This window comes from Homo sapiens, chromosome 4 (assembly GCF_000001405.40).
Source record: "Homo sapiens chromosome 4, GRCh38.p14 Primary Assembly".
Classification (NCBI taxonomy): domain Eukaryota; kingdom Metazoa; phylum Chordata; class Mammalia; order Primates; family Hominidae; genus Homo; species Homo sapiens.
The window spans coordinates 22,235,092-22,250,297 of NC_000004.12; the positions used below are offsets into that span (position 1 = coordinate 22,235,092).

At 41.0% G+C, this 15,206-nt stretch overlaps 2 annotated features.

The window, feature by feature from the left end:
* Positions 3,075–3,369: an enhancer, noted in NCBI's record as "tiled region #2159; HepG2 Activating DNase matched - State 4:PromP". NCBI's record gives its function as "weakly activates a minimal TATA promoter and a strong SV40 promoter by Sharpr-MPRA in HepG2 cells {active_cell/tissue: HepG2}" and the evidence as "EXISTENCE:reporter gene assay evidence [ECO:0000049][PMID:27701403]".
* Positions 3,075–3,369: a silencer, noted in NCBI's record as "tiled region #2159; K562 Repressive non-DNase unmatched - State 23:Low". NCBI's record gives its function as "represses a minimal TATA promoter and a strong SV40 promoter by Sharpr-MPRA in K562 cells {active_cell/tissue: K562}" and the evidence as "EXISTENCE:reporter gene assay evidence [ECO:0000049][PMID:27701403]".

Here is a 15,206-nt window from a genome sequence, read left to right on the forward strand (position 1 = left end):
AGTAACACTATTATCATCTTGGGACAAATTCGATGCTCCTTTGTTCCTAACTAGGGCCTAAATGAGCCAGGGAAAGTTTCGCCAATTACTTCCTATGGCACAGAATAATTCTAATCTCTCTGGGTCTGAGTTTTGCAGATGAGCCTCATTAATGCTAATGAAAATGTCACAGGTGCTAATGAACCGCTAGCACTCTTTAACTCCATAGACAACTAGCCAAGGTAGCTGCAGAAGCTTGGAAATCAATTGTTGTCAGATGGTACACCCAACCCTTAGAGGTAACCTAAATGTGCAGAGCTTGTTGGACTGGGAAAATTCCCCCAAGATATAGGAGAGGAAGTAGAATGAGGTCAAAAGCCTCGGGAAAGTAGACCAAGGAAGCAGAGCCAATTAACCATCGGAGCTACCACTCGGACAGTTGGAAACCGAGAGCTGTAATTACTTCTCATTTGCAACATTAGCCTTCCTTGAAATCCTAAGGAGTGGCCTCTGGGCTGCTCTATCAGACTTCGTAAATCAGAAGAGGAACACAGCTCCTTTCCTCTCAGACCCAAATAGCCCAGGATGAATCTGTCACCAACTCACAAATGGACGAAAACTACTATTAATAATGGAGAGCAACCAGTTTTGTTATTTGGGGCTTCTTCCCTTAATTAAGATTCCCTTCTTTGAGTAGCCCGGAGTGTTGGCCTCCTATTCACCAAGCCATCTGCTCTGCCTTCGTTTTTCTCCCCCTCCCAATTCTCCCAGAGGAATTTTTTAAGCTTCAACACATCGGCAGTCCTGCTCTGAACTGAATTTGCATCTCCAACTGAATCTATTTTAAGGTTTCTTTTGTGAACCTAATGGCTATCTCTAGTCACTTTTCCACTTTCAGGGACTGATGGCGTCTCCTCCGAAGACTCCCCAGAGGGCCCAGTTCTCCCCCAGGGCTTCTGTCTGACGCAGGCAGACACTCTCCACTACGGAAACCATCTGGCAAAGCAGCATCTGGTAGAAGTTTTTACCTTTATCCTTTAGGACTCAGAAGAAACTGGTTCGTTCAGAACCTTCTCATTTTCTTTCTCCTCATTGTCACAGATACGCCGCTCACTCAAGAGCACCTTTGGGCCGGGAACTGGGAAGGCTCTCCCTTGTCTCAATTGCTTTCCTGACTTATGTAACCCTCTGTGACCCTGCTCCCTACCTCCCTTCCTTCTGGATGCCTCACTCTCCTCACCCTCCACACTCCAGCCAGCTAGGTTTCACTTCAGGCCACAACACACGAAGCTCATCCCGTTCCTTCCTAGAGACTTCACACTGTGTTCCCTTTCCCTTAAAATATCTTCCCAGCCACTGTTGCATGGTTGGTTCCTTCTTGCCATTCACATTTCAGCCTGAATGCCACCTCCTCAGAGAGAGCTTCCCTGACCACTCATTTTCTTTCTTTTGGTAAAAACATTTTTAGAGACAAGGTTGCTATGTTGCCTATGCTGGACTTGAACTCCTGGGCTCAAGTGATCCTCCTACTTCAGTCTGCTAAGTGGAGACTACAGGTGTGGGCCACTGTACCTGGCTTCACCTGGTTTTAATGGTCTATACAACACTGATTTTTTATTTATTTCCTGTTTTCGTCACTTCCAACAAGTATGGCAGCTCCACAAGACAAGAGACCTCTTCCCCTTCTTGCTCACTGCTTTCCAACTCTTCCTGAAACTATGTCGGGCATTTGGTGGGTGCTTAATAAGTATTTGTGGAATTAATTTTTTATTGCATCCTTATAATAGCCCTAAAGGTGCACATTACTACTCCCTTTCGACAAAGAGTAAAGGGAGGTTCAGAAGTTAAACATCATGCCCAGGTCACCCATGTCTAGTAAGGAACAGGTGCAGGATCCCGGCTGATGGCTAACCCTACCCTCTCTGACAGTCAGCCAGGTCTATGAGACCTTGGGTGAGATATAAGGATGTGTCGAGATTTGTCTCCAAATTCTATAAATGCAGTTTTACTTTGTACCTGGATTGTATGACCTACAAGGCGCCTTAAAAACCATTTAATTTTTTGTCACTTGCACTAAGAAACAAGCCAATCCACAAAGGGAGAATGGCCAAAGGCAAACATGTGGTCAAGGCAGACCTCAAGCTGAGCTCTGCTGATTCCTGTCCATGTCACAAGCCACCATGTATAGCTACACCTGTCGTGCCCTGCCCAGAGGTGCTGGGAGGGGAGGTGGCTGGGGCTGGAAACAAGCAGCTGTGCAAGCCCTGCCCTCCACATGCATGCCCACAGGGGGCGCCATTCTCTGCTTTGCACCTAATGAAGCTGCCTGCCATCTCTTCGTTTACTTGCTTCCTTGAAGAACACTGATAATGTAGAAATAAACTGTTTCCAGTCCCCTGGACACCCGCAGTATTCAGAAGAGTAGCTGAAGGTGCTGCAAAGTTATTCATCTCAGAGGGATGCTGACCCAGGTAGTTGCTGACTCATCATTTCTCTCTTTTATTAATGTATGAATCTAAATATAAAATATTGTAAGCAAGCACCAATCTGAGAGTTCAAAAAGATGAAATATTATTATTCTGAGGGTGCTTGAATTTATGCCCCTTCTGTGTCCAGCATTTTTCTCTCTTTCTCTCTCTTCCTTAAAACACTCCTACCCAAAAACAAAATCCCACTTGTGAATCCTCAATATCTGATGAATAAGAAAATAATTAGAATATGCCGAGAATGTTCCAACTTTAAGGATGCTAGAAAAAAGTCTAGAATAAAATGTTTCAAATTTATCTTTTGGTCGTGGGGGACAGGAGATGATTTTTTTTTTCCTGCCTCTTTCTGTAGTGATTTCCTATAGGAAGCATGTATTACTTTTATGGTAGAGGAGGAAAAAGCCCGTATTTTAGAAAAGAAAGTGAAACAGGAAGGTAAAACTGTAGGTAACAGCTACTGGCCAGGTTCTGGAACCACAAACAGAGTTGGCTGCAGCAAGCTGAACAGGAAAAAGTACTACAAGTTAAAGTTTTTGCCATTCAAAGCAGGAATAAGACTGTGGGTCCTTCCTGTGTGACAGCAGGAGGACAGCAGGACCCGGAGCTGGGAGGAAAAAAAACCCAGACCCAAAAGAGGGAATTCTTTTTATAAGCACCTTTGATTTGGATGGCAGGCACATCATTCTGTTTCAAAAGAAGTGTCGCTGGGCTCTGCCTCAATGCCTTCCGGCAGGTGGCCAGGACCAGCAGACCACTTGCTCGTCACTAGGCTCTGTTTGTTTTCTTTGTGCTGGACTTTGCCTGTCTCCTATCAAATAGCAGGGGAAGGAGTCCGGGAAGCGTTCAGAGATAAACCCCAGAGAAAATCGTGTATCAAAAGGAAATAATAAAGCCTAGAAAGACCCAGGGAAGGAAGGAAAGAAAATGCGTGCTTGAACTTTTAAAGAAATGGGAAAAGTGACTCTTTTGCTTTTGTATTTGTAAATTTTTTCTCTCCTTCCTCCTTACTGCCCCCACCCTCTAAAGAAAAGACTGAAAGCAAAATTCCTCTCACTGAGCTGTGCCCAGGGCTGGCTTCAACTTTTCCAGAGCACCCAAGGTGGCCCAGGTGGGGAAAAGAGGATGTCAGTCAGCTTGGATTTCATTGTCTCCTGAAATCAAGTCTGAGACTCCAGTACCTTCCTGGGGCATCTAGCAACAAAGAAAGCATGTAGGTGTGTTCAAGAAGGCACACTAAGGGGTTTGCTGGAGAAGCAAGTCCAAGCCAGAATTTGCAATCCCAAAGCTAGAAGTAAGGAGTCAGGAAAAGGCAAAGGGGAAAATGCAGGCTTTTTCTTTGGAACAGGGGTTTTCCCTGGACGCAATTGCACAGAGCTGCCTCTCCTTGAGTGCTGGCGCTGTGACACGTGGGTAGCTTCGCTGGAGTTAAAACTAGTTCCAAGGACAGATTCTGTGTTGACTACTGTGGCAGGGTGGTCCAAGTGAGCTTTACATACTTCAGCAAGAGGGCCCTGTAAGAGGGGAAGACAGTGAGGCCCAGAGAGAATGTAAGGGCTTAGGAGACGTATTGATTCATTTCCTTCCATGAGTTTTATGTGTGACTTTGACACATTGGGCCAGGCACCAGAAATACAATGCAATCACCCTTCCCACCCCTGGACTCGCTAATCAAGAAGACAGACATTAATCATATACAAACCCTATACAAACAAGTCAAAATTAAAACTACAGGAATTGATAGGAATTTTTGGGGTTTAGAAGTCTAATTCATTAGAGCCATCTCCTCAGTATCTGCGTTCTGACTTATTGAAAGATGCAAAGCATCTAGGCAGATGGAGACTGACAAAAACTAGCCTGGAGTACAGCATTAGGTGTGCAGCAGCAATGGCTGCCCTGCTATGGTTTTCCTTGGGGAACACTGAGCTGGAGAAGAGACTCTTCCCCAGTATTCTTGCACTGAACAGATGTGGAAAGGAAACAGGGGCCCCAAAAGACCTGCACCAGTGACTATCAGACATCAGCCAGACAACTCACCCCACTTCCTGGGGGCAAAGAGTAAAGGCAAGGCCGGTGGCCAGGACTGTGTAGGGAAAACTCCTCCTCTTGGAGTACGGGGTGGGAATGTGTCTCTCCCCTACTTTCCCTGTGTTTCTGTTTCCTTAACTTTTTGGGCTTGGCCATTGAGTCAATCATCAGCCAGGGCTATGTGGCTGATTGTTTCTTGAGGGCTCAGCAAACTCTCTGCGCCGTCTAGCTCCTGCCTTCATAAGTGCAGAACTCAACACCGACTTCTTCTCTTTGAGTATACGCCATACTCCTGGGTACCTTTAGGGCACTTGAGGCTTTGCCCCACCATCCCCGCCAAAAGGTGACCACTCTGCACCTACTTTCTATTTGATATTGCATCCCAAATGTTATCCATATATTAAGAAAATCTACCACTGTTTATTGGCAAAGCCACTGTTTGGGTGTTGGAAATATAAATCCTTGGCCATAGCTTAGGAGGTTAACATAGCCAGATCCAAACTCAGGCCATGTGCCCCGCTATCCATGTGGATTATCAAAAATCCATAAAGAATGGTTTCTCCCTTGTCCTTCACCACAAATTCTAAATAAAAGCCTCTCCTGGGCACCACTAACACTAGAAGCGCTAACACCAGAAATCTCTGCCACACACATGGAACTTTGTTGTAGCTTCAACTTCTGACTTACAGACTTGGCAGAAAGACATGTAAACGCTAAACATAGCAGTTCTGCCCACTAGTCTCATAAAGAGATGATCTTCGAAAGTATCTCTTTTCCTTATAATCAATTTTTTAAGAATGGTGTCTGCTCTTGGGGCCCTCAGATTTAGTACTGCTGAATGCAGTACTGTAAAATTATGATCTTCATAGTTTTCAAATATTCTCCTCTGTGTGACTCACCATACAGTGTAGCGGTGTGAACTCCAAAAAGTCAGAGCTAATACGCAGAGTAGAAGCGTGAACTCCACACAGCCTGAGCTAACACACAGCATAGTCATGTGAACTCCACATAGCCTGAGCTAACATGTAGGGTAATAGTGTGAACTCCACACAGCCTAAGCTAACATGTAGGGTAATAGCGTGAACTCCACACAGCCTAAGCTAACATGTAGGGTAATAGTGTGAACTCCACACAGCCTGAACTAACACACAAGGTAGTCATGTGAACTCCACGCAGCCTGAGCTAATACACTGTGTAGTAGTGTGAACTATACACAGCCTGAGCTAACATGCAGGGTAGTAGTGTGAACCACACACAGTCTGAGCTAATACACACACACGTTAGTAGTATGCCTGCTAATGAGTGTGAACGGATACACAGAGTGGTATATAAACTGGTAAACAGTATAAATTATACAGTGTAATTGTGTACACAACTACACCGTAAAATAGTTTAAACTATTGCCTCATAAAGTAGGAGGAACTCCCACACACAGGAGTAGGAAGCACCCTCAGTATCACAGAGTGAACTCACACACAGTGCCACCCAGTACCACCCAGTACACCGCAGATCACATGATCTTTGAAACTTTTCTATAGATCCAAAGTTATTCCAAAATAAAATTTTAGGTTAAAGAAAACCTTTTTTTGCACTGTCTTATAGTTTACAAATATTCTTCTCTTCTAGCAGCCTATTACAATCACACTTATGGCCTATTATTCCAAAATGACTGTAGTATAACTTCAAATTTGATTCTGAGCTTCCTCGTTGAGAAGTGTAAGACCAAGCAATTACATAATGCTTAGTATTGAAAAGAAGGAAATATCCTAGTTCCTTAACACAACCAAAGCCTTTCCCAGAAACATAGTCTCAAATAAGCCTTTTTAAATGGGCTATCAAGTGTTGTGAAGAAGAGTGTTCTCAGAAGCATTTTTACAACAAATGTAATCATAAATTTCAAAAGATTCCTTGAAATGACCTTCCATGGAAGCTGAAGTAAGTCTGAACAACAATTCTGAGAAGAGCATTCTGCAAAAAAACGAAACAAGCTCCTGTTAGGTATGTCACTTCCTCGTGGTTCAGCCACTTACAGAGATAGAATACAGATTGCCAGGGAGAGTAGGCAGAATACATGTTCTATACACTACTTCCAGCAGCACCTCTTCCTTCAACAGGGCTTTTGCTTGGAGCTGGAAAGCAGAGAGTTCAAAGTTGACTCTAATTGACTCTAATCTACACAGCAATACCAAGATTGTGAGTAGCTGGTTGGAGACATCTCACTTGAGTTAATATAGTTATTAAACGAACAGACATTTTATAGGATTGTGTACAGGAAAGATAAACCTTTTGAGTAAGCCAGTTGTGGGAAATAACAATCTCACACTAATTAATTGGTAAGGCAGTGAGCAAGTTACTCAGCCTCTTCCAATGAGGAGAATAATAACTACTTTGTAGTGTTCTTGTAAGCAACTAGAAATTTATCTGGCCAATAATGGCTGTAACTTAAAATTATTGCATGATGCTCACCTGCACATTTTAAACTCTTTACAGCTATAATCTTCTTTAAGCTTTAAAACAATCCAATTTTTTTTAGTAGAGAAAATATTTTGATATAAAGTTTTAAAATAGAAAAACCTAATTGACAGTGTTAGAAATTAGCATAGTGATGACTCTTGTGGCTCCAGGGAAGCATGAGAGACTTCCTGAGATTACGGTTGTGTTCTATTTTTTTACCTGGTGTGTTCACTTTGTGGAAATTCATTGAGCTTGACACATGATTTATATACTTTTTTGTCAGCTTTTACTTTATATACAGAGGGTATATGTGCAGATTTGTTACATGGGTATAATGTACTCAGGTAGTGAGCATAATACTCAATAAGTAGTTTTGTGACCATGCCCCACTCCCTCTGTCTGCCCTCTAGTAGTCTGCAGTGTCTATTGCTCCCATGTTTATATCCATGGGTACTCAGTGTTTAACTCCCACTAAAAAGTGAGAACATGCAATGTTTGGTTTTCTGTTCCTGCGTTAATTTGCTTACAATTGTGGCCTCCAGCTTCACCCATGTTGCTACAAAGAACATGATTTCATTCTTTTTTATGGCTGTGTAGTATTCCATGGTGTATATGTGCTGCATTTTCCTTATTCAATCCACCATTGAAAGGCACCCAGGTTGATTCCATGTCTTTGCTATTGTGAATAGTGCTGTGATGAACATACACATGCATGTGTCTTTATGACAGGATGATTTATATTCCTTTGGGTATATACACAATTATGGGATTGCTGGGTCGAATGGTAATTCTGTTTTAAGCTCTTCAAAAAAATCTCCAAGCTGCTTTCCACAATAGCTGACCTAATTTTCATTCCCACCAGCAGTGGATGAGCATTCTCTTTCTGCTCCAACCTTGCCAGCATCTGCTATTTCTTTACTTTTTAGTAATAGCCATTCTTATTGATATGAGATAGTACCTTATTGTGGTTTTAATTTGCATTTCTCTAATGATTGGTGATGTTGAGGACTTTTTTTCCTATGCTTGTTGGCCACATGTATGTTTTCTTTTGAATCATATCCACTTTTTAATGTGGTTGCCTGCTTTTCACTTGTTAATTTATTTAAGCTCCTTATGGAAGCTGGATATTAAACCTTTGTTGAATGCATAGTTTGTGAATATTTTCTGCCATTCTTTAGGTTGTGTATTTACTCTGCTGATCATTTCTTTTTCTGTGCAGAAGCTCCTTAGTGTAATTAGAACCCACTTGTTAATTTTTGGTTTTGTTGCAATCACCTTTGGAGATTTAGCCAAAAATTCTTTCTTTGTCAAGGTTGACGTCAAGAAGACTAGTACCCAGATTTTTTTCTAGAATTTTTATAGGAAGTTCTTACATTTAAATCCATCTTGAGTTTACTTTTGTATATGATGAAAGGTAAAAGTCTAGTTTTATTCTTCTGCATATGGCTAGCCAGTTAACACGGCACCATTTGTTGAATGGGGAGTCCTTTTCCTTGCTTATTTTTGTTGGCCTTATCAATGATCAGAGTGGTTGTGTTTACTATTCTGTTCCATTGGTGTTATGTGTCTGTTTTTATACCAGTACCATGCTGTTTTTGTTACTGCAGCCTTATAGTGTAGTTTGAAGTCAGGTAGTGTGATGCCTCCAGCTTTGTTCTTTTTGCTTAAAATTGCTGTAGATATTTGAGTTCTTTTTGGCTCCATATGCATTTTAGAATAGCGTTTTCTAATTCTGTGAAGGATAATCTTGGTAGTTTGACAGAAATGGCAGTGAATCTGTAAATTGCTTTGGACAGTATGACCATTCTAACAATATTGACTCTTCCAATCCATGAGCATGGGATATTTTTCCACTTATTTGTGTAATCTCTGATTTATTTCAATAGTGTTTAATGTAGTTCTTTGTTGAGATCTTTCACATCCTTGGTTAGCTATATTCCTAGGTATTTCATTTTCTTTGTGGCTACTGTAAATGAGATTGTGTTCTTGTCTTGATTCTCAGCCTGGGCATTATTGGTATGTAGAAATGCTACTTATTTTTGTACATTTATTTTGTATCCTGTAGCCTTACTTAAATCATTTATCAGTTATAGAAGCCTTTTGATGGAGGGTTTGGGGTTTTCTAGGTATAGAATTATGTCATCAGTGAAGATAGTTTGACTTTTCCTGTTTGGGTGCCTTTTATTTCTTTCTCTTGCATGATTGCTCTGGCTAAGACCTCCAGTACTATGTTGAAAAGGAGTGGTGAGAGTGAGCATCCTTGTCTTATTCCAGTTCTCAAGGAGAATGACCACTCAATATTTTCAGTATCTCATTTCTTCAGATGAAAAAACAGAGGCCCAGAAAGTGAAAATAACTCCCTTAAAGGCACAAAGGTAGTACTGCTGAATTCATATACCAGCTCCAACAACTACTAGCTGTGTGACCTTAGGTAAGTTATTTAAATTACATGTGTCTAAATTTCTGTATTCATGAAATGGGGATAACGATATTACCTTCTTAAGGTTTCCTTGAGGATTAACAATAGATGCAATTAATAATACATGTAAAAATAAATGCCACATGTCTAGAACAATGCCTAGCACGCAGTAAGTCCTCAGTGATGGCTAGATTTTTATAGCATGTGAAAAATCAGATGAGAAGGTGTTAAATTTGACACTGTAGAAACAGAGGCAATTACATAAGGAGGGTTTCCTCAGATCAAAAGCTACCTGAGGTTTGACTGGAAGGTAAGTTGCAATAAAACTAGACTTTTCTTGTGGAAGCAGCAGGATATCTTATGTAACGTATGACCAACACTTAATACAGTCTTCAATAGCATATGAATCATATTCACCATCACCAATAAACATTTTTTAGCCCTTATTGAATCACAGCATCAATCGAAGAACTTAGAGACTAGTAGATGTACAATACCAAGGGTCCCCCATTTGCAAGGTTAACGTTACCATTGAAGGTTCTATTTCTGCTTAAATATTATAGGAATGATCATGTACCATTTTCACTATTTCTGTCTTATATTCATTTCACCTATTTTAATATTATAAGTTTTCTCTAGGTTGAGCCAAATTTTAATCAATTCAGGCTCTATTGAACACCTAAAAATGAGTAGCATCCACAATGCCTTTCTGCCTATGTGACCATGACATCAAGAAAATCAAGATACTAAAATAAATGAGAGTTAATAAAAACCGAGTAGTACGCTTACATTTTAAAGAGACCATTGAACTAGGCACTTAATGCATTTGAAGTCCAAATATGGCTGGAATCCCTTCTATACTTCCCTTCAAGTGATGGTTCAACTTTAATTTCTACAAAGGCAGAGTAAACATGATTTCCCAGAGCCAATTATTTGATCTTTGTACTCAGATTAATCATGAGACCAAAATTGTATCATCGCAATAAAATAGCTTCACCATGCCTGTAATATGACATTATGATTCATATTTATACACACACACACACACACAATATATTTGTTTTCGTCCAGGGTTCCTGGCTCATAACTCCCATAGCCTTTGTAACAGCCTTTGTTATAATGATAGGGCACTTTGGGCCTCAGAAGCAGGTCTCAGAAAACAGAATCTTTTTTTTCTGAACTTCTGTCTTCCTTTCACCTACTGTTTTTTTCTCCCCCTCTCTCCAAGATGGGGAGAAATATTACCTCGCCTTTTTGCCTTGGAGCTGGCCATAAGGAAATTCTCTGACCTACTTTGTCTGATTATGGATCATAAGACCCTCATTTCAGAAGAGGTTCTGCCCCATACTCTGGAGGAAGGAATGCTGCATGGAGAGGCCAAGAAGAATCTGAACAGATCTTGTTGGTTTTCTGCATCTATTTGTATTAGATCGTACTCTCCTTGTCCAATCACATTTCCACACAGATGCCCATGCTTCAGTCATGCCTATCCAATGCAAAAGGACATGGTACAGAAAGCTTCTGGGGTAACTGAACACAGGGAGGTTCCTGGAGGGTGGCACACCTGGGAAAGTGTGGAAGCCCCACCACTCCCCCTACCATAACTTGCTCCAGGTATCTCATCATCTGTACCCTTTGTAATATTCTTTGTAATAAACTGGTAAATTTGAATGTTTCTCTGAGTCCTGTGAGCCACTCTAACAAATTAATCAAACCCCAGAAAAGGGTCATGGGATCCCTGATTTATAGCCAGTCAGTCAGAAGCACAGGTCAAACAACCTGGGTCTCAGGCTTGACAGCAGAAGGAAGGAGTGTACTCTTGAGAACTGAGCTCTCAACCTGTGGGATCTGATGCTATCTCCAGGTAAATAGTGTCAGAATTGAATTAGAGCACATACAGCTGGTGTCTGCTGCGCAGCTGATTGCTTGCTTGAGATGTGGGGAAAAACCCACATACATTTGGTCACAAAAGTAGCCTATGTTGATTGCCATCAAGTGAGACAATAGAAATAAAACACAGTTTGTGTCTTTTCCACTGATACTGCCCAACTCAAGGCAATTTTCTTGCTATATTCTTACAAAATCTAAATTGCTATTATATATACTTTTTGACCTTGGTACCTCCAGTCTTTCTTTGGACACAGAATTCCACCGTTCTCAAATTTAAAATATATTCTATTATAAAAGAAAAATTTATCAGAAATACTTGTGACTATTATTTATCAAAGCAATGATTTATTACAGAGATAGCAAATGTGTAACACAGAGACCATCACCCTCTCCTATGTTGCTCCCAGCAGACATGGCAAATCAACCATATTTACTACTCCATTCTGTTGAGTTTGACACCATCTCAGCCTTCAACTGAAATAGCACTATAGTAAGGAACAAAGTGTAGCACAAGATTCATAGAAGAAACTGAGATGTTTTCCATTTTTCATCACCCATTTGCCATCACCCATTTGTTTAATCAAAAGCAGCCTTATGCTATACAGTTGCTTCCCTGTCCTATTGTTCCCTCTGGGCAGGCCCAATCTGTCAGGGCCTGGAGAACAATCCTAGCTGCCAAGAGAGTGCAGATGTACCTTTTATAGTTCAGTATTCTGGGTTCCTCCCAAGCAGCATTATCCGTGTGAACCACACACTAGAACGTGGATATGACACTGCACTATTTATTTCCTGCAATGACTCCAATCTAAGGTCAGCATCAAAAAAGAAATGTCAGCTATACATGGACACTTTCTCCAGAACTCAGAATCAAGTACATCTTTTCATAGTAAGTCAAATCTTTCCCTTTTTGCTAATGGTGAGAAATTCCTCTCAAACTCCCCTCCAGACCTTCCCTCGGCGGGGTGGAGGGGGAACCAGAGAAACCACATGTGGCCCCCATCTCTATTCTTTACTTCAGTAGGAACTGGTTTTCCTCTTCTAATGTTTTTATAATAATATGATACCTCTGAAAATCAGGGCAACAAGGGTGGCATAAGCACTAAGGAAAGGCCATGTGAGGACATGTGAGAAGACTAACTCACTTTGGTCATATTTTTTTCTGTGCCCTCTGTGACTCTCACCTGTATGGTTAACAGTATGCACACTATTTCAGCTAGTCTGTTTTATATCTCTCCCTCCATGAGTCATAATCTGAACATTTTCCCCAAAAACTTCCTATATTGACATCCTTGAAGTTTTCCCCCACTTTCTATATATTAGCATTGCTCTGATCAACACCTGCCACTCATCACAAATAGCTGGTGCTAGAAGGAAGCTGCTGGCCCCTTCCCTTCTTCACTGCCAGCATCCAAAGCTTCCACCCCAAGATCCTTCACTGCCTGCTTCCTGCCCTGGGTTTCCTCTCTTCACTACTGTTCATTTGACTGGCTTCAGACTCACCCATCAGATCATATGTGATGTTGCCCTTGTGTCAACAGGGGCATTCTACTGAGACAATAATGTGTACTTGCCCATAGGACTATGCCAATGGTTGTTTGCAGGGATAATATTTGTAACAGGTGTAATTTAAAAAAAGGAAACACTGTAAGGGTGAGGCAAAGATGCCTAGTTTTTAATTAAGCAAGAGATGTCAGCTTTTGAGCCATCTGGGCCCTACAAAACCCCTAAAGGATAAGACTGTCTCCCCTACTGGTATCCTTCTGGTTCACTCAGCTCTAGCCACATGGGTCTCATTGCAGTTTCCAGAACATGGTACTACCTCTGGGTTTTGCACATGTAATTCCTTCTGACTGGACTGCTTCTACCCTGATTGTCGGCACAGCTTGCTCCATCATTCTTTCATGTCTCTATTCAAATAGAATGAAGGAGTCTCTGATGACCCCATCTAAAACATAAAATTTCATCTCTCCTACTTCTCACTACCCTTTCCTGTTTTACTTTACTCCTTAGCATGTATCACTATTTGTTATAGTACATATTTTAATAATACTTATTGATCTTGCTTATCTGACCATCTCCCGCTCTAGAATGTAAGTCCTAGGAACAGAGAGATTTTGACCCTTTTATTCACTACTGCATGCCAAGTGCCTAGAATGGAGCCTGGCAATTTTGGCTAGTCCATACATATTTGTTGAATGAATGAATAAATGGGCCCATAGTAAAAAGTTGAAGCAGAAAGCAAAAATCTATTAGAATGTGTCTTAGCTTGGGTGGCTGTTACAAAATATCATAGACTGGGTGGCTCAAACAACAGAAATGTATTTCTCACAGTTCTGGAGGCTGAGAATTCCAAATCAAGGGACCTGTAGATTTGGGAGCTGGTGAGGGCTCTCTTCCTTGCTTGCAGATGGCTGCCTTCTCATTGTGTCCTCACATAGCCTTTCTTCAATGCTTACTCCTGAAGGGAGAGAGATCTCTGTCTTCCTCTTCTGATAAGGGCACTAATCCCTTTATGAGGATGCTACCTTCATGACCTAATCTAAAGATAATTAATTCCCAAAGACCCCACCTCCAAATACCATCACATTGGGGATCAGGACTTCAACATATGAATTTTAAGAGGTGGTATGGTTTGGCTCTATGTCCCTACCCAAATCTCAGCTTGAATTGTAATAGTCCCCATATGTCATGGGAGGAAACTGGTGGGAGGCAATTGAATCATGAGGGTGGTTTCCCCCATTCTGTTCTTGTGGTAGTGAATAAGTCTCACAAAACCTGGTGGTTTTATAAATGGGAGCTCCCCTGCACATGTTCTCTTGCCTGCTGCCATGTAAGACATGACTTTGCTCCTTGTTCACCTTCCATCATGATCGTGAGGCCTCTCCAGCCATGTGGAACTGTAAGTCAATTAAAACTCTTTCCTTTTTAAAATACCCAGTATTGGGTATGTCTTTATTAGCAACATGAGAACAGACTAATACAAGATGATCTAAGCATTCATCCCATAACATGATATAAGCTTTATGGGGGCAGAAAGCTTATTTTTATATTTCCTGAGTGGCTGCTATATGCCAGACACTATTCCAGATGTTGGGAATAGTGCCTGGCATATAGCGGCCACTCAGGAAATATTTGTTGAGTGAGAACCAGAGAAATTGTGATATAAGTGCTGAGCTAACATGTAGCATATCATCAAATCACAGAAGTGCTGTTAATATACAGGCTTAAATTTCTATTCAGCAAAATTATACAATCATTTATCAAGATGATTAATTAGAATGTTGGTTTTGTGCTAGTAACACAGACTCAAGTAAACTGGTTTAAATTAGAGGGCCACACATCATAAACCAGACAGATTTTTATTTCCCTCTCACATAATAGTCCAACTGTATAGCAGTTCTACTCTGTCAAGTCTTCAGGGGCCTGGAAATTCTACTTTGTGGCTCTACCATCATTAAAGTGTGATCTTTGTCTCTGGTCCAAAGCAGTTTACTTCCTTATCTGCAAAACAGAGTAGTAGAGGGTAAAGAGAGAAAGAAATGCCATACCCCTTACCTTACAGAGCATATGTAGAAGTTACAGTCATCACTGTTGCTCACATCCCCTTAGCCAGAACCAAACCACATGGTCAGACCTACCCACAAGTTAGGAAGGAAAATGCAGTCGCTATTCTAAGGAGCTATAACTATGGGCTTTCACTATTATAAAAGAAGAGATGAACACATTTAGGTTAGAGCTAGCAGTCTATGCCAGAGTATATATTTTAAAATAATCATTTGAAATTAACCCCGACTTCGTGTAAACAATTGTTGAAGGTGAGTAATACATACACAGGGGGTCATTATACTATTTTCCCTACCTATGTTTATGTTTGAGAATTGCATTGTAAAGCATTCTCAAAAATTTAATTGCATAAGCCTCTATCATGGGATTTTGTTGGTGTTTGAATTAAG